The sequence below is a fragment of the Homo sapiens genome, chromosome 8 (genome assembly GCF_000001405.40).
Source record: "Homo sapiens chromosome 8, GRCh38.p14 Primary Assembly".
NCBI lineage: Eukaryota > Metazoa > Chordata > Mammalia > Primates > Hominidae > Homo > Homo sapiens.
This window is the reverse complement of record NC_000008.11, coordinates 85,882,509-85,909,004: the sequence shown is the minus strand read 5'-3', so window position 1 is coordinate 85,909,004 and position 26,496 is coordinate 85,882,509. Positions and strand designations below refer to the sequence as shown.

General features: G+C 35.0%; 1 long non-coding RNA gene across 1 annotated transcript, besides 2 other annotated features; it reads right to left on the bottom strand.

Moving 5' to 3' along the window:
* Positions 1-388: 388 nt before the first annotated feature.
* LOC124901971 (uncharacterized) lies at positions 389-23,112 on the bottom strand. Its single transcript, XR_007060987.1, has 2 exons — positions 23,011-23,112; positions 389-692 (listed from the first exon to the last, which is right to left on the bottom strand). It is a non-coding gene; the product is annotated as an uncharacterized LOC124901971 (long non-coding RNA).
* Positions 6,323-6,549: a silencer, noted in NCBI's record as "fragment chr8:86914685-86914911 (GRCh37/hg19 assembly coordinates)". NCBI's record gives its function as "represses an EF-1alpha promoter that drives an FKBP-Casp9 reporter gene in an ReSE screen in HepG2 liver carcinoma cells and K562 erythroleukemia cells {active_cell/tissue: HepG2 | K562}" and the evidence as "EXISTENCE:reporter gene assay evidence [ECO:0000049][PMID:32094911]".
* Positions 12,331-12,625: a silencer, noted in NCBI's record as "tiled region #4822; K562 Repressive DNase matched - State 6:EnhF". NCBI's record gives its function as "represses a minimal TATA promoter and a strong SV40 promoter by Sharpr-MPRA in K562 cells {active_cell/tissue: K562}" and the evidence as "EXISTENCE:reporter gene assay evidence [ECO:0000049][PMID:27701403]".
* Positions 23,113-26,496: the final 3,384 nt, after the last annotated feature.

The window sequence follows — 26,496 nt, the reverse complement described above, 5'->3', positions numbered from 1 at the left end:
ACTATTTCTATAAGGGGTAAGATTTTACATGTATTTATTAGAGTGTGAGTATGCTTAGTTAACAGGAACTAAGGAACAGGCCATTGGAGACAGGAAGAATTTCAGAGAAGAACTAGTTCTTCTCGTGCACTTTAGGAGTAGGTAATTTGAGGCCCAGAGAGTTAAATAAACTTGCTGAAGGTTGCTCCTTTAATGGTTGCACACAGTTAGAGGTAGAGTCCAGCCCACAGCTTCCCAGGTAAGGGCTCTATCCTACTGTTTACCCACCAAGGCATACAGGACTAGAAACCATTTGTTTTAATTTCCTGTGACATGTCAATCTTCACTATCTTGGCAGCTGTTTAAAAGAGAAGGTAATTCTTTCAAATTAATAGTACAAAGCCATTCATTACTCTTTACTCAACTTTTTATTAAGCACTCCATAGTATAGCCTCTAGAAGCTTTTGATCCTAATTTATTTTTAGTTGTAAAAATGCACTTTTCATAAATAACTCTATAATTGAGATCAAAGCTAGCATTGAAGCTGTCTCAAGAGTTGAGTTTCTTTCTTTCGTTTCCTTTTTCAGGCATTTGAACTTTAGGAAATTGCACCTCAAGCTGTAGTTTACTAGGGGATCCATCCATCTTCCCTTCAAAGCAATGTTTTTCCTTCCATATTGGTTCCTTTGATAAACAGTGTTGAGAGAGTATTGCTAAAGGGAAAATAGAAAAAAAAAGTTGTCATCTAAGCATAAAATGACTTCTTCAGAGAAATGTTTTGAGATATATAATGTTTTGATCTGATAGATTATTTTGCATATGGATATGGATGGAGATCATTTTATAAGGTATTTTATGCCTATAAATGGTTGGGTGAGTTCATCTTTATATTATATATAATACACATACACATACACACATACACACATTAACATCATATTAACATGTGATCTTTAAATTATACTCCTGGACCATAGTTACAAGGAGCATTTCTGGAGTCAATGATCTAAGCCAAGCCCTAGCTAGTTAACCCTCTAAGCAATCTATTTAAGTAGTATGATTGAACTAAGGGCTGTATAATTCACCTACTGAAAATGATGTAAGTATCAAATTGCCCTCACAATTTCTTATTTTTTTAATGGATAAGAAAAAATTCTGAGTGAGAGAAAACGTAGTATCAAAAACTCAGAATTTTAGTTAAAAGCCAAAGTTAATTCAAGGCTAGCTTCTGTGTTCAAAAGCAACACAAGGCTGAGCACAGTGGCTCACACTTTTTAATGTCAGCATTTTGGGAGGCTGAGTTTGGAGGACTGCTTGAGCCTAGGAGTTCTAGGTTACAGTGACCTGTGATCATGTCACTGCTCTCCAGCCTGGGTGACAGAGTGAGATCCTGTCTCTAATGAAAAAAAAAAAAAAAGGAAGCAGAAAAGCAAAACAAGAATGCTTCCCCCTCAAAATACATACAAACCAGGTACAGAAATTAAAAAAAAAAAAGACAACTTTCCTATTACAGAAAAGATAAAAGTTGGTTCTATTGTGTGCAGTACTCCCTAAAAAGAAACAGAAAGAAAAAATCTAGGGAGAAATACAATCCTTCTAGTGAACATCCAACATATGAACCCCCTGCTCTGCAGGGCCTTGGGTTGCTCTTGCCTTTCCAGCTTTATTGTGATAGATCCTCAGTCTTGTTATGTATTTGACAGCTACAAAAGCTTTCAGGTAAGCCAAATTCTCTCATCTGAATATCCTAAAATTATATGCCACATTCTGTGGGAATGGATTTCTCTTCATTTATTTCTCTGGGAAGATGGCTCATAGAATTTATCAGTCTCGAGGGGATTTGTGACATAGCTAAGGTTAAGAACCACTGCAAGGGGTAATGTACTGAAAATGGAATTTTAAGCATCTGGCAGCAGTTAGGGAAAGACTCTGGGTAGGTCTGCACCTCCCCACCAAAAAAGGGTACATACTATATGATTCCAGGTACATATAATTCTGGAAAATGCGAACTAAACTATAGTGATAGAAAGCACTGGGGCCTGGGAGGAGAAGACAGTGGGAAGAGGGACGATGTCTGTTTTGAAGCTTTTTTTTCTCTTGAACTCTTAGACTTTAACATTGAATGAATTCTCATTTTAGGAAGACAAATTGTCTCTGATTCCTAGGGATTTTATTTCCCAGGGATGGATGGTGGGGATTCTCAGACTTTTGAATATTCCTTCTAGTTCTAGCTACCTCATATTATTTTTCAGTACAACAGTCTTCTCTTACCAACCCTGATGGTTGTTGGTAAGAAAACTACACTCCATGCAGTTGCAAACTAACCCGCTCCTAATGCAAAGCTAACTGTGAGTACCATGAGTTGTACGTACATATGGCAGGGATTGTGTTTTGAAAATATTATCTATATTAATTCTCACAAAAATTCTATAATAGGCATTCTTCTTATATTATACCAATGAAAAAATGAAATGTAGCAAAATTGAGCAATTGGCCCAAAGTTACATAATTATTAAGCAAGAAGGTGATAATTTGGAGCAAATAGGTCTGATTCTGCAGAGACAATACTTGGCTTCACCGCAGTTTAATGACTCTTCAGATAATAACCAATAATTGACACTCAAATTAAAGTACTGGTTTCCTACCAAGTTATATCTTAGGTTAAAAAATTGCTTGACTTGAATTTCATCTCGTATTTCTTCCTATGATAGAATCAAGTTGCCAAGTATATGAAGAGAGACAAAAAAACCTGGGATAATCCACCATGATTAGTAATAATCCCCAAGATGAAGACAAGTTTAAAACTAATTCTTCAAAGAGCACGATTGTTGTATCTTTCTGCTAGAGTAGTCATCATCCAAAATCATTTTTAAACTTATTATGTATGTGTCCTTACCTGTCATTTTCACAAACTACATTGCCCATACATTTTATTATTTTGGGTGTTATTTTGTTTGTTTGTTTTTTGTTTTTTTGAGACAGAATCTCACTCTGTCACCCAGGATGGAGTGCAGTGTGGCGGGATCTTGGCTCACTGCAATGTCTGCTTCCCAGGTTCAAGCAACTCTCACGCCTCAACCTCCCCAGTAGCTGGGACTACAGGCATGCACCACTATGCCTGGCTAATTTTTGTATTTTTAGTAGAGACAGGGTTTTGCCATGTTACCCAGGCTGGTTTCCAACTCCTGGCCTCAAGCAATTTGCCTGCCTTGGCCTCCCAAAGTGTTGGGATTACAGGCATGAGCCACTGCTCCCAGCCTATATTAAATTTTTTAAAAAAATGTCATTTCATGGTGGTGGGAACAAGGGACCTTTCATGAAAACTACAAGCCACAGTATGTCTCAGTTAGTTATTTTAATTATATAATACTGTAATAGAATGGTACTTCTTTCATCTTTACACATGCAAGGATTAAGTGTTTTGATGTTGAATTTTAAATGAAACCATTTGTACTCTTAAATAGTTTTATAGACTAAAAGACTTTGCTATTAAGAGTTTGCATTGCCTTTATTCTCTTGGACTATGACTATCTAAGGAGGGGCCTATCTATAATATTGCCTCCTGAAAGACCCACCCTTTACATAACCACAGCTCTAAATCTGCCAGATGCCAGCGTATGCACTATTCACTGAAGGCCATTAAGTCTTGGCATTGCCAATAAGCTCTATTACTCAGCTGTCAAGGAACTATCCTCAGCAAATGTGGTCTCACTGAGCCTTTATACAAAATTTGACAAGGCGGGAAGGCCTTGCAACCTCTTTAGATAAAATATACATTTTCATGGTTGCTTTTTCTGTATGTATATCAACCACATGATAAGTATTATTTTTGTTTATATATGTATATGTATTTGTGTGTGCATAAAATCAGAAATAAGTGGTTTTCCCCCACTGGTACTCTCATTCTTTTTTCCTGCTTTATTTTCATCTCCTGTTCAGTCCAAAATTTCAAACAGATGTATTAACTGTTTACATGTATATTCCCCCTTAGTTACACTGGGTTATCTGGTGTTTGTTATGATATTCAAAACTTCAAAAGGATGGAGAGCTCCAGCAAAGACAATCCTTCATAGCCAAATGTCATTTCCTGTTAGAATGAAACTAAATTTATACATTCTTTCCTCTGGTCTTTTCTTCTCAAGTTTATCTATTCTAAAAGATCTTATGGAAATTAATTCAGAAGAGAGGGAGTCTAAGAATTTCCCTAATCTCTTCAACAAAAAGTCATTGAAGGTAACAAATTAAACTTTCATAATTTAAGAGAAATTTTTCTTCCCACAACTATCAGATAGCTGATACATGTGGGAGCTGGGATTAAATATGGTAAGATTTAAATAAAGTGCCATGCTTACCACTTATTGTATCTGTTTTTTGGAGGAAGATTATTTTCTTCTCTAATCTACAGGTTTTGACTTCTGCCTAGCATTTTCTACCCATATGTAGCAAGATACAGATTTGCAATATTTGCAGATATATAGCAATTGCAGCTAAAATGTTATTTTCATTATTCACCAGGATTACAATTGTCTTTAATTTGACTGATCACTTAATATTATTACCCTTTCATCACAGCTGATTCGATAAATTCTCCTACTTCTGAAGAAAAGGATACCTGAATAAATGGATTTAAATATATGATTAATGGCGAGGCACAGCGTCTCACATCTGTAATCCCAGAACTTTGGGAGGCCAAGGTGGGTGGATTCCTTGAGCTCAGGAGTGTGAGACCAGCCTGGGCAACATGGTGAAACCCTGTCTCTGCAAAAATACAAAAATTAGACAGGTATGTTGGCACGTGCCTGTAGTCCAAGCTACTGGGGAGGCTGAGGTGGGAGAATCACCTGAGCTGGGGAAGTTAAGGCTTCAGTAAGCCGTGATCACACTACTGTACTCCAGCCTGGGCAACAGAGTGAGACCTTGTCTCAGAAAAAGAAAAAAAGATTTTTATTAAAGTATTAGTATCAGTCTCTCTCTAAAATATCTAAAATGTTATCCCTTAAATAATATGCATCCACTATATTGTCTCATTGTATTAATATAACATCATAGATAACTACATAGACATTTTAGCAGATTTATTAATGTATACTTGAGCATAAAATGTACAGTTTGATAAGTTTAACTTATGTTTGCACCTGTGAAACCATGTTATTGTATTAATGTAGCTATATTGCTACATAAATTTTTTTAATCAAAGGAATTTTTAAAAAGAGAAAAATTTTAAATAAAATCACTATTTAGGCAGTTAGCTCCCAAATGGTTCATTTTCTTTACCCAGTTTACACACTCAGGGTAATATAGTTTGGTTAGCAGATGAACTAGAATAAACTTTATAGCAATTTTAAAATGATCAATATTTTTATTTACTTGTTTTTAACCTAACAGTTTCTTAATGTTATTGTATCTCACTGGACATCTTTGCAGCCCAAATTTGTGCGGCCTATTTTTCTAGATTCTGTAATACAGAATGTATTTGACTTTGCTTATCCTTGTAGTTAGTATTCACATGTACAAATTCCAAAACAAAACGAGATTATTTAAACAACTAGATCTCATTCTAAAACTATTTATGACTCCCAGGTGTATTTCCTTTTCATTAGTCTGTACCCGAGTTAAACATTTCCAAAGAAAAAAGTGTGTGTCCTGGAAACCCTCTGTGTTGTCAGTCCCAGCTGTTCAAAAGGTGCCCTGGTATTGTAACCGGCCTGGTAGTCTGACACCTGCACCCAGAGATAGCAGTGAGATCTTGCCCAGCCAGAGTTGGACTGTGATGTGGCTGCAGTGTCTTTGTGTCAAAAATGTACATTCTCCTCCTGCATCTCTGTGACTGCATGAAGGAGAGAGCAGATTGCAACTCTTCTAACACATTTCTCAGAGTTCTGAAGTGAGTTCTTTTTCTTGGAACTTAATGCCTGAGTGCCTGGTTTTTCTGAGCTCAGAAAATTCATCTATTTCTGATCTGTAAAAACTTGCCTTTAGCCCCACATGGATATTGATTTTTTAATATCTTTATTTCTTCTGACATTTGTTCCTTTAAAAATATCTATGCTATTTTATTGCCTAAGGTAAAGGGGATGAAATACTGTTTTCTATAATATCTTCCCCATCACAGCATCAATATAAACATTTATGCTTAAAAAGAGTTTCCAGTGACACTGCTCCCAAACAACTGTGATGTTCCCAGAAGGTGGATGGGGTCCCATTCTTGTACATCTTTTTTAGACTGTAGGTGTCTTGAAGGTAATTTATTCTTGCATTTTAACTGTGCTGGCAGAGTACTCACATGTGGCCAGTGCTTAACAATTGTTTATAAAATTAATCTTTTTCGGGCCCAGAAGAGAGGTAAAACACAGTGCTGTATTCTGTCAGGCTAGAGGCAGCAATAATCATAGAAAAATGCAGTTCTGTGTGATATATTTTTATTTTTTATTTTTATTTTTTGAGATGGAGTCTCACTTTGTCACCCAGGCTGGAGTGAAGTGGTGCCGTCTCGGCTCACTGCAACCTCCGCCTCCTGGGTTCAAGCGATTCTCGTGCCTCAACCTCCCAAGTAGCTAAGATTAGAGGCATGTGCCACCACACTCAGCTAATTTTTGTTTTTTTTTTTTAGTAGAAGTGGGGTCTAGCCATGTTGGCCAGGCTCGTCTCAAACTCCTGACCTCAGGTAATCTGCCCGCCTTGGCCTCCCAAAGAGCTGGGATTACAGGCATGAGCCACTGTGACCGACCTCTGTGTGATTTTGAAAATTAATATTGGGTTCTAAAATTTATTTGATATACATTTAAGTGGAGATTTTAAAGGTATGCCATTATTGCCCAGATCCTAAGAAAATGAATGTTTAGTGCTATTTCTGCATTGTTAATTGTAGACTTTATTTGGTTGAGAGACGGGCAGTTTATGCAGTGCTATAAACTCAGTGAACAACAACACTTCCACCATCTCGTGGAGGATATCTCAGAATAAAATCTCACTATGACAAAAAGTACAAAAATATAAACTACAGAGAAAAGTATTTTTTAGAAATTTGTCTTATTTTTTGCGTCAGGTTAGCATAAAGTTCTGTGCAGATAAATGGAATGTCCAAAACACTGTTAGAGATTCCTATCATCCTTAAGATTCTGGGAAAGCCTGAAAAATGATGAGAAAAAGAAAAACATCTAGTTACATCTCAGTGATAAAGAATAAATGAATTCTTTTAATTTAATCGTCACTGAAAATTCTTAAAATATATTGATCCATATCTCTACCTCAAGAAATACATTATGGCAAATATAATTGAATGTTTCTTCAGAAGTCCAGACTCTGGTTCCTTGAGTCATGGTAGTTCTATAATTATTAATCAAATTCTTGATGAATTTCTAAAACATTATTAATATGGGGTTGAGGAGTATGAAAATATAAAAATATATTCTTATATATAAGTTGAAGAAGTAAAATATACAGACAAGATCTGTCTAGTGAATAAGATAGCATTTCAAATACTAGTAAGACTAATTTCCATTGACTGCAAGATGCCAGAAATTATGATATACACTCTTTCTTTTTGTGCCACTTAAGAAGAAAAGCAGTTAGTTATATTTGCAATATGTCATCGATTGTTAAGATACATCCTGATTTGAGAGACACTACAATAAGAAATGCATCTTAGAATTAGTGACACACAGCATATAATAGAGTCAATGACACACTGCATATTTAATGTTATAGAATAAATTGTAATCAGTACTCTTTGGCTTAGAGATGATAACTGCATTGTGACCACATGAGGACTGGTAGATAGGACATCATCAGGAAGAATGGGGAAGGTCTGAATAAAAATGGAGAAGAGTGGAAGATGAAATATTCCAGGAAGAGCAAGGGAACATAAATAAAAATGTATCGTAACTTTAGGTGCAGAAACAGAAAGATATGTTAGAATATATATATATATATATGTGCCAGATCTAGGACATATCTCCAAATTTGCTTTTTTGAATAAAACTCTAGTATGTACTTTCTGGATTTCAAATAAATAAAAGAAAGCCTAGATTTTAGAATTATCAGAGACCTTGAAATATTAGAGACTAATATGGTATCCTTCAGACATTTTTAGTTTACATTTATACCTGAGAGAACTGAGTCCATATGAAGAGACATGGACAAGAGGTTTCAAAGCTAGTCAGCAGTGAAGGGAAGATGATGCCTCAGGTCTCGTACCTCCTACATCGGTGCCCCTGGTCCAGGACCAGGGAGCTACGGATTCCAGTGAATGGGAATCTCAGTGTATCCATCCAGGTAACACACGTACCACAAAGACAGCCAGGAGTGCTCATTTCCAGAAATGCTTATCGGGGTCTTCTGACTCATTTCTAGTTAATCAGAAAATTATTGTCCATCTAAACCCTATGTTCTAAGAAATGTAATTGACAGATGCCACCAGTTACTAAAAATATTTCTAGTGAAATTTTTGCTAGAGGCAACAATCGTTAAATGAACTGGGCAGTATGAGGCCAGAAATATAACTTATTGAGGAAAACAAAATGGGCAGTTGTGACCTTCATTAAAGTGTAAAATGCTTGAGTATATGCTAAGTGCCTTTAATAGTACAGGGCAGTTAATACATATCAGTTATTATCATACCTCCCCAATCTGACAGTAATGACCTTGTAAGCGCTAGAATTTAGAAAAATGTTGCCTGATTAGCCAAGATAAGCCATGTGTGTGTAGGTATACAAATATATATATGTAATTTAAAATATATATATATATTTGATTTTAAAATATTGTGGAGAATTCTGGATGATGCAGGAAGAGGGCTTTATCATGTCAATAAATGCTGCCACAACAGAGAAATCAATGGAAAACTGCAAGACTTGCTGGTTTTTTCTGCTTTTATCAGTGTAATTTTAATTGTCATTCATCAGTTATATAGTTAATATCACTTTCAACGAACTGTTAGGAAGTTGGAACTAAAGTTCCTGAAATGGCATATTTCTTTAGGAGCCTGAATATGATATAAATATAAAATACAGAAGGGATATTTATCATTAAAATTCTGTTCAAGCCAAGTATGCAAAATAGCTCCATTAATTTAATTCCATTGGGTGATTGAGAGAGGTTTTATGGCATCTAAAAGAGTTACTGAGAATGAGCAATATAAACACAATTTAAATATTTAAGTGATTCTATGATAATGTATATTCTTGATATGTACACATTTGAACACTCACTCTACCCACTGTTATCATCTTCCCCAAAATTCTTTAGGCTATTTTTAAAAAGAAGACCTATAAATATTTAGAATAAATGTTCTTAGCACAACACTTAATCACTGTAGTTGCTGGATAGTATATTCCTTATCAGGACCTGTATTTGGTCATGGTTTAGCTGGGCTTCGGTGAATCCATTTCAGATTAGGTATGCTTGCCAGAGACAAGAATCTGGTAAGGATATTACATCTGGGTTACACTGGAAAACAGAAAATCCATTCAAATAACCAGGAGATAAAGCAAGAAAACATAATTTAAGTGTATGTGCGATAAAGACTGTGTTAAAAACCCACAGTTCTTACCTTCACAGAGTTTTAATAAGCCTTATATAGGTATTTACATATATAATTAATAACAATTATTCATAATAATAATTATAGTTCTATTTGCTGAATTTTCACCATGGTCAGGAGCTGTGTTGATACATTATTGAACTGTTACAACAGCTCTGTTTAGTAGCCATATTCATTTACATTTTACAGTTGAAGAAATTAAGTACAGGGAAGTACAGTGGTTTGAATGAGGTCACACAACGACGTGTCACAGACTCAACTTTGAAGTTGGCCTCTATGTTGTACCATGGCGGAAAAACGTGTTAAGTATTCCAAAAGAGATGCAAGCAAAATGTTGCAGGAAGAGGAAGCCCAGATATTGTACCTGTGGGAGTAAGGATGGCAGATGGGTGGGTCAAAGAAAACTTTAGAGAATATAACATTTGAACTGGTGCTTGAAAGATTACTAGGAATTCACCAAGGAAAGACCAAGAAAATGTCTCTCTCAAGCTGGAAGTCTGAGAAGGATGTTGGAGGAAGAATGAGGACTCCTCATGTGTATAAATAATACAGGGGGCCTTGGTGACAATGAGGTTAGATGATGTTTAAGTGATGCTATACTGCAAAGGGCCCTGTAGACGCTGCCAAGGTGTTGGGCTTTATCCTGTGTGCAAAGAGAGTGTATTTATCCTGTGGTTATTGGGATGATTACCTTGGCAGCTTGTAGATGGATGACCCACAAGAGTAAATTAAAGTTAGTGACACAGGGGATGATGGAACGGGAACCTTATTCAAGAGTAATTTCTAATGTAGAATTAATAAATGTTGGTGACCAAGTAGATATGAAGATTGAGGAAGAGAGACTGAAGAATATCATAAAGGCACATCATGATTATGTTGGCATGACAGATTAGGACATAAATATATATAATCCTCATAGGTTTACTTCTTAGATTCCGGCCAAGTAATGGAGATAGGTTTGTCCTTGGATCAATCAGTTTTCCCCTATAAAGAATAATAGATGACAGAATATCTCTTCTCATTTCCTTCTGATAGCTAGAGTTACATTTCTAAACCTGCGTGTCAATTTTAAGTCTAACCCAGGGCAATTTGAATGACTAAGAAGGCATTACAATTTAGACCATTTTAATAATTTGGTTTTATTAATAAGCAGCCATTTGCTATGATTAATTTTTACCTTATTGTATGGAAACAGTGGCCAAATACACAGTTTTGCACTGAAATCTGACTTCATTCTGATGGTCCCTGGAGTTCTCTGAAACGGGATGACTGTACATCACTCTGTGGCTCACTCAGCCTGCTCTCTGCAGTTTAGCCTGCCTGTTCCCATGCCCACCCTCTAGTCAGGGTCTCTCCAATAAAAATAGTGTTGTTGTTCTCCTCAGCTCCTAAACTGGGGTAGCTGTTGGGGCAACAGAAGCTTGATTTGGCATAAGCAGAAGAGATAAGATCAAAGTCCTAAGAAAAATAGAGTAAGAAGTAGCCTGCCCTTTGAAACCTTGGCTGACTACACTCCAACCTTGTGTTTATAAAGCCTTCAGCATATCACAAAGGAGACAAGAAGACAGAGAAACTGGATGAGATGTTAGAGTTCCTCCGTATTTTGGGTTCAGGAGAAGCCAGTTATATATCTTAGAATCCCTTTTCTCCCCACCATTTTTTGAGAGGTTCCCTAAATCACATCTTGCTGAAACCAGACTGAAATATTCCTTTTGCTTTATGAGAACATGCTCAACTGAATTTTTAAGGTATAATGAATAACTTAAAAGTTAATAATTTAAGGTGTGTACTTTAGAAAAGAGGAATAATCAGAACTCTACATAGGTTTAAGTGTTGGTAGATCTGCCATTCTATTTGGAGGTCTAATAGCAAAAATTTAAAAATATTTCTTCCTTATTAATAGTCCCCTCAGATGAATTCTTACAGCTGATCTAATCCTTTTGCTAGATTTTGTGTCCTGAGCTTTTTCTTTCTTACTTTTTATTTATTTTATTTTTTTAATTTTTCTTTCTTTCTTACTTTTTAGAGGAAAATATAGTAATAAGTGAATATATTATTCTATAGAAGAGTTTTTGAAACATAGAATCATTCATAAAATATTTCTATTGCTTTAGGCTGTATAATTAGGATCTCTATGATTGATTTCTTATTGACAAATGGTGACTTAGGAGGGCCCAGGTTTAGCATATAGAAAGTAGATCAAATTCTAGTACACATTAAAACCTTATTTATGCATTCTTCATTTTACTGAAAAAAACAGATATGTTGAAATTTATATAATTCACCCTGAATTTATTTAATTCAAGATGTTCTGATTATTTATATATAAAAAAGCTTTGCCAAAGTTACCAGGAAGTTTGGATTCTTGGGCTTCAGTATCTCTGCTCTAAAATGCTTTTGGGGACCTTATCTGAATGGTCGGAATTCTAAGAAGTTTTTCAACTTTCCAATAGTGATTTTGAAAGAACACAACACACACAAATAATGAATTGCACATGAAAATCATAAAACCACAGGAGAGAAAGAACACTCCAGAACCTGTTAGCCTGGTATCCCAGGAGACAACATTTTTCCCAAGAGCATAACTCATCTTTAAAAATATTTTATGGCTCTTCTCTTTAGCTTCTCAAAGAAGTCCTTGGCAGACAAATGGTTAAAAAAACCCTGGTCTAGGCTTTCCACTGCTTGAATGGTAATCAACCTTACTTTTACCACTAGATTAGTACCCAGTTAACCAACAAGTACTATATTAGTCTCTAGGGTGAACCATGGTTATTTTTATATATAGGGAGGTCATAAGTCTTAGCCACAAAAGCAATGCCTCCTTTCTGGTGTGTGTCCTGCTACAACATCATCTATTACCTCCAAGACTGTGGGATTTCTTTGATTTTTACACATTCAAGTCAGTGAGGTTGTTTGCATAAACCACAAACTCCAAGGTGCTGACTTACCACCCGCTGCCTGGGTTAATCTGGTCCCCTGACAGTGCTATAGACACTGTCACATTCACCATGAATCAGGAAAGCTAAAAATGGTTTAGGAAAAAAATAAGTTCATGGTAATATTTCATTCCTGAAATGTATTATTAGTTGATCCATTTAAATATGAAATGAGGCAGGCATAGTTAACTATTGAATAACTATTTATATATATATATACATATATATATATAGTTATTTATTTATTTATTTAATTTACTTTTATACCTCACAGGAATAGCATTCTTTGAACACCACTTTGCAAGATGTTGCTAAAAGAAGAAATCAAGAATTACAATTTCATCATAATCATTATCTTCAACAAGTCTTCTAGATACATAAGAGGTCTGTGGACTAGTTTTACCTGTAATCTTCATTGCTGTGGATAGCTGCCTTCACAGCTTTACAAGAAATGGGATAGGTTGAAAGCAAGAGTTCAACTCTAGGGTACAACTTCCCTAAAGAAATTAAATTTTATTGAGCCCTTGCCATGTACAAGGTGCTGGGAATGAGGCAAAGATAAAAATAAGATAATTTTGATCTTCGCTCACCAAAATGCTGTGAAGGAGTTCATAGACTCAATTAATTTGTGTATACAATACAACTTATATAAATTAATTTGGTGAACTATATTGCATTGTTATCCTGTCATATTTTGAGAGAGGAGGAATAAGTTGTAATGGGAGGAAGGCTTCACAAAAGAAGTAACTTTGTTGAAGGTCTTAAGGACTACATAGGATATATGTGATGTTTGTCTTCCCCCTCAACAGAAAAACAGGGGAAAGCAGGGCCTGAAACAAGGAGGTGTGACAATGCTTGATTTGCTCAGAGGCTGGTGAGCCATCCTAGGTGGCCAGAGTGAAGAGTGCTTGAGGAACGTGGTGGGAAGGAAAGCTAGGAGGTAAATTGTGGACAAAATGTGACTGGCCTTAGATGACATGTGAAGGGGTTTAGACATTTTTCTACAAACAGTGGTATGCAAATTAGAGTGGGCAAGGAGATGCATTGTGTGCTGGAAAAAAGTATTAGGGTCTCCTTTATAATTTATTTTTTGTATTTTTCTTTTTAAATGTCTATTTTAAATGTGCTTTCTCAATTTACCTATTAGTGGAACATTACATGGATATCATGTGCCAATTAATATGCATATATTGGGGATCCATGTTCCACCTTTTCCGGGTTGGAGAGTACAATCGAAAGCTTGGGGACCACTGCAAAAGATATGAAATTTCAGTTCAGAAGTCTATTATACAACATGGTGACTATAGTTAATAACAATGTATTATATACCTGAAACTTACTAAGAGTAGATTTCAAACATTCTCACCACAGAAACTGATAAGTACGTTAAATAATAGCTATGTTAATTAGCTTGATTTGGCCATTCTGCAATGTATACATAGGTCAAAACATTATGTAGTACACCATAAATATATATAATTTTTATTTGTCAATTTAAAAAATTAATGAAACAAAAGTACCTGAAAAAATAAAGCCTAGTACCATTGTTGTAAATGCCTACCTCTTGTCCAGTCTCGAGAATGAAAACAAATCAGCTTCTGAATGGATGATGCTTACTAGATCTGGAAGGACCTCAGAGGTGATATAATTTAGCTAAATTTTTCTACAGATGAACTAGATCCCGGTGAATCTAAATGATTAACCAAAGCTTTCCTAGTGTATTGGTGGAAGAACCTGGTCTGGAGAATCCATCTATATTTCTATGGGAAGCCCATAGTTTTTTTTTTTTTAACCTATGACGTTCCTGCCTTTTAACAAGATTCTACCAGCAAATTGAACATAAGTCCTGTGTTATGGCACTGACGAATAAAACAAATAACGTTAGCTGAAACATGATGGAAAGAAGATTGATGAAAGTATACCCTAATGATAGGAAGTATTTTAGAAAAAAATAAAATTTTAGAAAGAGAATTTAAAGTGAAAGCTTGTTATCTGGAAAACTGTCATCTGGTGTAACTTCTTACTCTCCAGTCCACCTGATAAAACAATGCTCCTGCACCATGATAAGAGGAGAGGATCTGGATGGGAGGATAATCTGACTCTCAGGACCCTTCACAAACCTCACTCCTTTGACTTAAGTTGAAATTTTTACAAAACAATATTGTGTTGTTTGGAAATTTCCCTCCTTTATCCTTTTCAAAATTAATTTTTAGGAAGAAATCACACCCCAGACAACAGCCTTGAGGTGGGAAACTTTAAAAGCTTTTTATTTTCATTGATTTCTGTTTCATTGCAAATGGGTGGGTTTTTTGGTTTGTTTTTTAATGATTTCCTTAGCTATTTCAGGGAAGTCAAATGATGTTTTAAACCTGAGGCTGCAAACTGGCAGCCCATGGATAGAATTAGACTTACAGATTGTTTTCATCCATTTACCCCACACAATTTCTTCAGAATTAAAAAATTCTGAAATCTAATTTTTAATTTTGAAAATTTGAAATGAGAACATCTATACATGCTTTACCTAGACTCACCAATGTTTACACATTTTGTCACATTTGCTTTGTCATTCTCTCTGTCTCTCCAGGCGCACACACACACACACACACACACACACACACACGGTTCTTTAAAACTATTTGACAGTAGATTGCATACATTATTGCCCCTTACTTCTTAATATTTCAGTCTTTACATATTTCCCAGAACAATTAAAATTCATAACTTCAATACAATACTTACATTTAGAGAATTTGACATTGATACATTTATCTTATCTATATTCCATATTCTACTTTCATCCCCTAGTTCAAATAATATTTCTTAGAGCAATTTCCACCAATACATAACCTAGTCCAAGAACGTATTTCGCATTTAGTTGTCATGACTGTTTAGTTTCTTCAATCCGAACCAGACCCTCAGCCTTACTTTGGTTTTTGTTTGTTTGTTTGCTATATCGATGACATATTTGAAGCATGCAGGCCAGTTATTTTATAGAATGTCATTTAGTTTGGATTTTTCAAATGTTTCCTCATAACCAGATTTAGGTTATGCATTCTTGGCTGGAATACTCTATAACAGATGTTGTGTCTTTCTGGCAGCACAAGATGCCCATCTGCCTTTCCTTGGTGGTGTTAATTTTCATCACTTGGTGAAGGTTTTGCCTATTTTCTCCACTGTATTGTTGCTATTTTCCCTCTGTCATTATTAAATAATTAGCGAGAGATACTTTGAGACTGTAGACATCCTGATTCTTGTTCAATGCCTTTCCCTACTTTGATTTAGCATCCATCAATGATTCTTGCCTAAATCATTTTTCTGATGATGGATGTAAACAGATTATTTTCTAAGTTCATTGTTCTGTCTCTGTATTAATCAGCACCATACTGTAAGAAAGAAATTAACTTTCTTCTTTCTTTCCACCTTTCTTTCCTTCCTCCCTCTCACCCCCCTCCCTCCCTTATTCTCTCCTTTCCTTCCTTTCTTTCTTCCCTCCTTCTTTCCTCTGTCCCTCCCTCCTTTCCTTACTGTCCCTCTCTTTCTTTCTTATCAATATGAATTTATGGATTAATTTTTATTCAAAGGTTTGTTTTTAAAATTTTCCTTTTTTCCCATTTTAAAAATTATTATAAAATACATATAACATAAAATTTACCATCTTGACCACTTATGAGTATACAGTTCAGTTCGGGCTAGTCTTGAACTCCTGGGCTCCAGTGATCCTCCTACCTCGGCCCCCAGAGCTCTGGGATTACAGGTGTAAGCATATTGTTTTTCAGAAGGACTGCACCACTTTACATTCCCACCAACAATGCACAAGCATTCCATTTTCTCTACATTCTTGCCAACACTTGTTATTTTCTTTTTTTTTAAATTGTAGCCATTCTAATGGGTATAATGTGGTATCCTATTGTAGTTTTGATCTGCAGTTCCCTAATGATTAGTGATGCTGAGCATCTTTTCATGTGCTTATTGGCCATTTGTACATTTCTATGGAGAAATGTCTATTCAAGCCCTTTGCTTATTTTTGAATTGGGATGTTTGTTTTTTCTTGTTGAGTTTTGGAGTTCTCTCTATATTCTGAATATTAATCTCATATCAGATATGTAATTTGCAGTTTTTCCCATTGTGGGTTGCTTTTTTACTCTGTTGATACTGTCTTTTGATGCACAATTTTTAAAATTTTCATAAAGTCCAACTGTCTAATTTTTCTTTGTTGCATATGCTATTGATGTCATAGAAATTATTGCCAAATCCAATGTTGTGACAATTTCCCCCTATGTTTTCTTCTAAGAGTGTTATAGTTTTAGGTCTTACATTTATGTATTTGATCCATTTTGAATTAATTTTTGTATGTGATGTCAGTTAAGGGTGCAACTTCATTCTTTTGCAGGTGAATGCCCAGTTTTCCCAGCACCATTTGTGAAAAGACTGTCCTTTCCCCATTGACTGGTCTTGGCACCCTTGTGAAAAATAATTTGATCATATATAGGAGTGTTTATTTCTGGGTCCTATATTTTGTTTCATCTATATATCTCTCTTATGCTAGTATCACACTATTTTGATTACTGTAGACTTGTAATATGTTTCAAAATCAGGAAGTATGAGTCCTCTCACTTTTTTCTTCTTTTTCAAGATTGTTTTGGCTATTCAAGGTCCCTTGTGATTCCATATGAATTTTAGGCTACATTTTTCTATTTCTGCAGAAACATCATTGAGATTTTGATAGGGATTGCACTGAATCTGTCAATTGCTTTGGTAGTATTGACATCTTAATGATATTAAGTCTTCAAACCCATGAACATGAGATGTATTTCCACTTATTTATGAACTTCTTAATTTCTTTCAGTAATGATTTGTAGTTCTCAATGTACAATGCTTTTCCTTGTTTTTAATCCCTCTTTTAAGTTGCTCAATTCAACAACAAAATTAACGATAACTTCTATTACTGTACATTATGGAAAACAAATTTTCTAAGAGATCATGATTTGTTTGCAGTTCTTATTTTCATAGACTGATAATTTATAATTGAAATCTTCATGTATACTACTTTCTTAATGTTTGTTCTTTATGATTTTATCTCTCTTGTTGCTATTGTAGCCTGTTATTTGTCTGGCCCCTAAAGGCATTTGAGTTTTATCGACCATTGGAAAAAAATTTATATTGTTTTATAAAAGAAGCCAATATAGTTTTGGTGTGTAAATAAATCATCCATAATGTAATTCTCACCCACATATAGATGTTTTAAAATTTATATATATATATATATATATATATATATATATATATATGTTCCTTTTTTAAACAAGCAGAGTCCTCTTACAGTTAATTCAATTTTATCTAAGACATACAGTTTGCTACCTGGTGCTGCCCCCAAGTAAAGAATTGAATCTTTACTTGTAATTTGAGATTTTTCTCTCCACAAGGGCAATAATAAATACATATTGCATATGTGTAATATAATAACTATTATAATAAACTTTACATAAAATGTCTTTTTTTTTGAGATGGAGTTTTGCTCTAGTTGCTCAAGCTGGAGTGCAATGGTGTGATCTCGGCTCAGTGCAACCTCCGTCTCCCAGGTTCAAGCGATTCTTCTGCCTCAGCCTCCTGAGTAGCTGGGATTACAGGAATGCACCACTATACCCAGCTAATTTTAGAGACAGGGTTTCTCCATGTTGGTCAGGCTGATCTCAAACTCCTGACCTCAGGTGATCCACCTGCCTTGGCCTCCCAAAGTGCTGGGATTAAGGCATGAACCACCATGCCTGGCCCTACATAAAATGTCTTAATATTGCTTGGTTGGCATTTACAAATCCAATGGTCTTTAAGAAAGAAGATTACATCAGAATTGTCTACCTGTCCTACTTTTAAGTCATTTAAAGAGTGAGCAAAAGTCAGCCCTAGAATACAAAATGCAATTGTAAGTAGCTTTTGAATGCCTTATTAATAAGCAAGGATATAATTATCACAGGTAGTTATCTAATCATCTGCTAATTTTAAAAAAATCTGTAGTATGGTGTTTTCTAACATCAATCAGTTCTCCAATTCTCTGACACCAACTGGGTGTCTACAAATTCAATTCAATGCTGATACTATCTACCTGGATTTAGTGTCAGACACAAGTTAAAGGACTCAGTCTCACAAGGCTGCCTCTCCTTCAAACAGCAGTTCCAAGTCTTGGGCCACATGTACTTCTGACCAACTGGCTCTAAATCAGGGGTTCCCATAACTCCCTCCTCAGGTCTGATGCTTCATTAGAATGGCTGACAGACCTCAGGAAAGGATACAACTGAAGAATAGCAAAATGAAAAAGATTCATAGAACAAGGTATGGGGGTAGGGTGTAGTGTTTCTGTGTTATTTCTGGGGGAACCACCCTCCTAAACTTTGGTGTGTTCACCAACCAGGAAGCTTCCTGAATCTTCATTTCCAAGGATTTTAAGAGCTCTAAGGACAAAAAGCAAATATGTTTCTCTTTATACTGTATGTAGATATTTCAGATATAAACTAAGGCTTTTCTTTGGATTTTCATTCATAAAATTGGAGAGAAAAAGCAATGTTGGAGACAAAAATGAGTGAATAAATTGAGAGGAAAAAACTCCAAGGAGGAAGGATGTAGAGATAAAAGAGGAAAAAAGCAAAGTAGAGAAGAGCATTTATGTGCTATAGGCAACTGTTTTAACTTCTTACAACATCCTACAGATTTTTAGAGATATAATTTGAGGTTGGAATTAGTATAAACTGAATAGTAATTATGAGAAAAGTTTTGGTCATTTATAATTATTTCTCTTTTAATAATGATGATATCAATGATGAGGATGATGATAAATCATACTATTAAAAGATAGTGTCTTTTAAAGTTTGCTTATTATTTAGATAGGTATCAGACTTACCATAAACTTTAATGATGGAGTATTTTCATGAACACATAGTTCAGTTTCTCAACTGTTGAAGAAGTCACCAGTAGCCTTGAAATACCACAAGAAAACATGACCAAATAGATATCCTTGAGATTTAATGACTCAGGAAACACTTTAATACAAGGCAATTATTACAGGATGATAAAACTATTATAATCATTTACTACCCAATTGTAGAATGGTTCAGTTATCTTTTCCATCAGAAATACATAGCCACCAGAGTCCCAGTATTACTAGGTTCCATAAACAAACATGACAAATTTGCTTTGTGCTGGCTTGTCAAGTATTTAGTTTAATAAAGAAACTTCAATTTAAAATGTCTAAAATAGCTCCCAAAAATAAATTCAGGAATACAGGAATAATGAAAATAGAACTTCTCATCTGAAAAAATCTGATTAATTGCTTTTCAGCTAGAGTCTCTAATGGACAAGTGAATAAGGAGCAGTGTATCTTGGGACAAATATCATTGGGAAAAGTTCTGTGATTACCATAGTTGCAGCAGTAAATTTTATTCTTATTGGCTTTCTAAACAATTGTCTTCATCTACTTCATTGCCATACAATATGAATTTAAGAATTATATATATATAAACAATTAATTGAAGAAGCCTTAATCATATTAAATTTATGTTCAGAGAAGTAAGAGAATTGATGAGAAGGGTCTGAGAGATAATACTCACCCCCTTTCCTCAAATAAACAAAGTGATTATAATAACAACAATAGCTACTACCATGCATTGAGTGGCTTTCAGGTGTCAGGCACTGTACATCTCTTACATAAACCTTTTCTTTTTGTCTTAGTCCATTTTGTGGTGCTACAACAGAACAACTGAGACTTGATAATTGATAATGAACAGAGATTTATTGGTTCTGGGGGCTGGAAAGTCCAAGATTGAGGGGCTGGCATCTACTAAGGACCTTCCTGCTGCATCATCACATGGTAGAAGGGCAAAGAGAAGGAAAGGGAGAGTAAGAGATAGAAGTTGAAGCCTCAAGCCCTTTTATAGTTAGCATTAATCTTTTCATGAGGATGGAGTCCTCTTGATCTAAACACCTTCCATTAGGGTGGCATTGGGGATTAAGTTTCAAAAACACACCTCCCAACCCTGTGGCATTGGGGATTACATTTCAAAAACATGCTTTTTGGGGGACACATTCAAACCATAGCACCTCTTCTTTGCCAAAACTGGTGATGTAGATAGAACCATAGCATCTATTTGCTGATATAATTTTATACTTTTTATTTCCATTCTGTTCTATAGAACTGCAAAGGAATTTATCTAATTCTCAGCATTTACAAACCCAGTGATCTTTAAGAAAGTCTCTCAAGTATATCTTTTAATTTTGAAGGCTTACTTCTTCACACCAAATCATCTACATTTTTCTGTTTCTCTGTCTTTTTAATATTAAAGTTTGCCAAACATCCTTGTAGGTATGTCTCCCTGAAATGTACATACAAATTCAGTGGTCCTCTAGCATGTACATAATTCAGTGCGAGAAAAAAAAATTATTTCCTTGTTCTGGACTCTAAAATTTTATGTGTGTAGCTCAGCTCATTAATTATTGGCCCAGCCTCATCACATTACTCATATAAGTTTTGATGGCAACTACAAAATCAGATTGCTTTTCACATAAGGACTACTTAGCCATAAGCATCTATCCTGAACCTGGGATTGTTGATGGGAAGGATTTTGTCTTTATATATTTACATTTTTATGCTTGATTATATATTTATGTATTATTTTTATGTTATTTTATTAATATATAACATTTACACATTATTTATATATTATATAACCATATTGCATAAAATATAGAAATATATTTTGTATTTTGCTTATGTTTATGTGTTTATATTTGATAAATATTTAGTTTATTACATTTTGTCTTGTTAGATCTGTTTATCATAACTTTAAAGCCATTTTTAACGTATTTTTTCCTCTGCCTTCATGTTATCACAATGACCACTTATTCAGTAAGTTTGTCAGTTTGCCAAACATAGTATTTCTGTCCTCATTTAAGTCACTGACCAAAAAATTTTTACAAACACATATGCACACACACACACACACACACAGAGACTTGGATAGAACCATATGCACATTTTTGTGCAACAGATTTCTAAAAGCTCTTCCCACGCCCATTCTGCATAACTGAAACTTTACATCTACTTATCAACTCCCTACCTTTTCTTGTTCCTAGAAACCACCATTCTGCTATTGCTATGAGTTTGATTAGAAAGACATTGAATTGGTGTTTGCTTATTGATGACATTTCGACAACATAATTTATTAAATTCAGCCTCCTGAGAGATTCTCTTATCCTAGAAAGAAAATTATAAGCTTTTTACAAGATAATCTCTAGGATCAAGTTCTAAGCAATAAACTCATGAAATTAATTGGAAGATTAAAAGAGACCTTCAAAATAGGTTCCACCTACCCTTCTAAAAATTTTCATCTGAAGTTTGAAATTTACTTAATATTTAGACCGTTGCATTTGGAAAAATATGTAATCCCCAGTGCTCAGTGAAAGGAAATTCAAGGCAAGTTCAGGTCATGTCAGTAGGCAAAAGCTGAATGTAAAACCTCCGTGGAAAACTACCAAGAGAGCCAACTGATGTTGCTGGCAGTACTAAATGTTTGTAACTTCTCAGACCCACTACCTGGGCTTTTCTTCCTCAAATGGTAGCTTTCTTCTTTATCATACACTGACTTTTGGTTTCTATTTACCTGCATAAGCAATTTTGTTGGAAGGAGTGATTTAATTCTTTTCTGACTAGATCTCCTCTATAGGAACAGTGCTCTAAGTAATTGTATATTACAACAAAAATGAATCAACCATTCTTTTGGCTTCTTTCTTTTGGTTGTTCACAGATGAGTTCTGCTGGCATAGAGTTATTGGCCTGCAATTATTCTATTGATTTTCAAACATGAAAAACTGCGTTTCCTCTTCTGAAGGAAGGAAGAGCAGAGGAAAAGCATCTAGAGATGTTGATTTTCAGATCAACTGAAGTGAGAGCTGCTGATCCACTTGTGCTAATTAAAATCAATATCCCGAACAATGAACTGCCGGGATCATCTGGAAACAGGAGACACTTGCCAAATGTAGTATTGTATTGACATGCAGGAAGAAGCCTATGTTTATCCTAAACAAATAGAGGGAAAAAAACAGCCTTGAATTTAGTAAAACCTGGCAACCTTTTTTTCCATAAAATTGATTCTGCATCTTTAGTTTTAACTGGAAGTAGAAATAATCAATCTTATCTTTATTCTAATTAGCTCTCATTAATTTTATTTTATTCTAATTAGTTCTCACTATTGAAACAAAGGATAAATAAACATCTCAGAAAACCTCAAGGCATCCTAGTGTGAGTTTCTCTGCATCTGTTAGGAATACATCTAGAGTTCATTTTATTTTGAAAATAAATTTCAGAGTGGTTAAACCATTTATTGTACCTTACACAATAAATCAATTATTAGATAAGCTAAGAATTTACATTTTGATTTGCACAGTTTGTGAACCACACAGTCACTCTAAGCTCCTCTCAAGAATATAGCATCATCTGTAAGAGAAGCTTTTAGCTGAACTGGGTCATCCAATGAGACTTGGTTACTGTTATCTTTAGTTACTCACGCAGCTGGGGGCACATTCCAATTTTTTTCAGATTATCTTAAAATGTTGAAATCTTGAACTCTGCAAACAGATATAAAAACTCTTATCAGTCTTGACATAATCCTCATTAGTAGAAACAATATTATAAATGAAGTTTCTATTTTCCAGGACAGATGTCCTTTTCAGTAAATGGCCTCTTGATGATTGTTCTGTGAACATCTAAAGCCTGTGATTAGAGCTCTTCAAATGACCAGAAGTCACTACTCAAAATCTTCCTTACCACACAATTACTGGATCATGTGCTTCTCTTGTGCTTCTGTGCTACTCCAGCATGATCCAACTTTTGTTTGGGAGGAAATAGATGTTGTTTGTGTCAGCAACAAACGAATCACTGTCTTTTATGGTAATCTAAAACATTGAAACTTGCATTCTTTTTATGAAATCAAGGATGTGGAAACTATGCCTTAGAAGTATTGATTTCTATTGTGTTACCAAACATTTATTGATTATGTGCTAGATTTAGCATTTTTATATAATTTAATCTAGGCATCACTCCTTTGAGGTAGATTCTAAATTTAACTCCATTGTGAAAAGAAGGAAACTGTTTAATAGTAATTCCTGTATCACCCAGAGTCACACAGTAAGTAGGGATATGAAAATAATTCTTGGACGAGATCACAAGAATCTTAACAGTAGTGGTGAGAGTGGAGAGGAGGAGGCCAATGTGGTGAGAGGTAGAGGGAACTGAAGGGACGATTGGGAACCCTTGTTTGATTCACTTGTCTAGGTGCCAAAGAATTAAAGGGGCCATTTCTAAACTTTCATGAGGCCAGTCTCTGCTCTTCAAAAGTCATGCTCTCCCTTGAGGCTTCCATATGTGGCTTTAAATCTCTCTTTGGAGTTGAAAAGCACTACATAGGTTTGGGGCTGATATTTCCAGTAAATCTCTCCAAATCTCCAGCTAGTCCCTTGGGTTATCTGGGGCATGGAGACATAGGTTCCCGTGTCTCATTGGGGTTACTCTTAAAAAGGCCATTTAACACCCAATGGAAGTTTAAGAGATGGGTGATAAGGAGCAGAAAAGTATACAAGTAGATTTGGGGATTGCCAAACTGGCGATCAATCACCTATAATTTTTACTGTGTCATCAGCATAGCCTTTCTTCCAAAGTTAAAACTCTTTGTCTGATAAAGGAGGAAATCAAACAATAATTTACAAACAGTTTGTTTTTGTTTTACTTTAAATCCCAAGTTCAATGAGGACCAGATCCTAATAAGCTACAATTTTGTCTTGTTTTCCCCATCTAGAAATTACAATAGATAATATGTTGTCTTTTGTTCTTTGTCAGTGTTGTCAGATTCTAGTCTTTACATCTATTGTTAATTTTCATGATCACTACACCCTCCATATTTGGTTACAAAGCTCCAGGATGCATATGTACAAACCAAACAATAGCCAGGGAAGGACAAAGGTTCATTCATGAGACTGTCAGAGCTCCAGCAGAATATAGAAGCTAATTGTTTTCTTTTAAATGGGAATAAAACACACAGGACAGATTATTCTTGTTGTTTGTACTGTCACAAGAGCAGATAGTGATATTTGTAGCTCATAATTCTTTCCTTTATTCCTGCTGCTAAACATCCACTCAGGCCATTCAATGGAAAAGAGGCAGGAAAGATTTTACTCAAACGTGAATGTTTATAAAAAAGGTCAACAGATTCTCACTGGATTTTGAAATTAGTTTCCTTTAAAACATATCCTTTCTGAGCTACGTTTTCATATTTAATATTAATATCAAACTAATCAAATTTAATAAATTAATTAGATCGTTAGTTCATAAATACTATAACACATTAACTAATGTAATTAATATTTAATATTAAAATCACCTTTTAATAATATTAACAATAAGTATAATAATAATGCCTTTTCACAGTATATAAAAAGAGAGATTTTATATAGGACTTCTGGGCATGAGGTAAGAAGAGGCAACAGGCTCACTTTGATATAATGGATGAATAGTTTAAATTCCCTTCCTTATTCTGCCAGACTTGGCATTTGGATTCTGGTAACAGCCATGGATTTAAGTGTATGAAGGGCAGCATCTCATAGAAGTCTTTAATATTTTGGTATAAAGCCAGATCTGCCTCAAAATGTAATTGGCCTATTTCATTTCTCCAATTTACTACCATTTCTCAAATATAAGCCTTACCCTAAGCCACCTCTGCAAACTAAATGACCAAAAAAAAAAAAAAAAACAGAGAGACTGTGTTCAACCACTCATTCATTTATGAAACACTTACTAGCATGTACTATGCGTCAGGTACCATGCTAGAGGCAGAAGAACAGAGATGAATAAGTAATTCTCTCTTGCCTCAAGAAGCTCACAGATATTTTCATAAGACCAGTGATGGAGATAATCACAGTAGTAGCTAACATGCATTGAGCACTTACTATGTGGCATGCAGTTTTCTAAGAACTTTACATAAATAAACTCTTTTAATATAAAATAATATCCTTTTGAAGATAACTATATTATTATTCCCATTTCATTGGTGCTTAACTCGGGGTACAGAGAGATTATGTGACTTGCCCAAAGTCACCCAGGACAATGAAGGGTAGAGCTAGGATTTGAACACTGGCAATTTGACCCAGAAGCCATGCTCTCACACATTGTGCAGTGATGAACATGGTGCTATGGAAACCATAGAAAGGGTGGTTGCCTCACTGGGGCTGATGATGGAGGCAAGCCAGAGAAGATATTCAAAATGAAACAGAGCTGAGGCTGAGCCTTAAAGAGTGAGTAGAAGTTAGCTAAGAAAGGAATGATGAAGAAAAGGTAAGGACATTATAAATATGGCAGCATGGTCAAGCCGAGGCGTGAGAGTGACAGACAGCAAGGAGAAGGGGCATTTGGTGGTGGGTGAGTGTAAAAAGAATGGGAGATCAGATAACAGTGAGGCTAGAGAACGTTGGTAGGGCTCCATTCGGATGGGCCTTGAGGGCTTCCTTAGAAAATGTGGATCTTATCTCATTCTTGACATTATTATACATTTTGTGTTTTGTTTTGTTTGTTTTATTGTTTGTTTATATTCATTTGAACTACAATTCATGAGCTGAGTAAATGCCAAGTCACTTGTCTGAGACATGAGTAGTTAATGAAATTAATTGGGTTAATCAAACAAAGTGTATTAGAAATTATACCAGGTTTTAGATTGTTAGAAAATCATGACTAAAATTAGGTGAAATGGAATTAAATCTCACAAAAGATTTCAATAACATTTTACTTTAGGTCAAACAAAAGCTGTTCCCTTTGGAATCTAAGATGTCCATTTTGGTATTTAAAAATGACTGCTTAAAATACTACTGACATCAATTTAACATATTTATTTATACTTATTTTCAAATATACTGAACATAATTGAAAAAGAAAGCCTTCAATTGGTAGAGGTTGACGTTTTTGGGACAACATCTTTTTTCTTTCTTTCTTTCTTTCTTTCTTTCTTT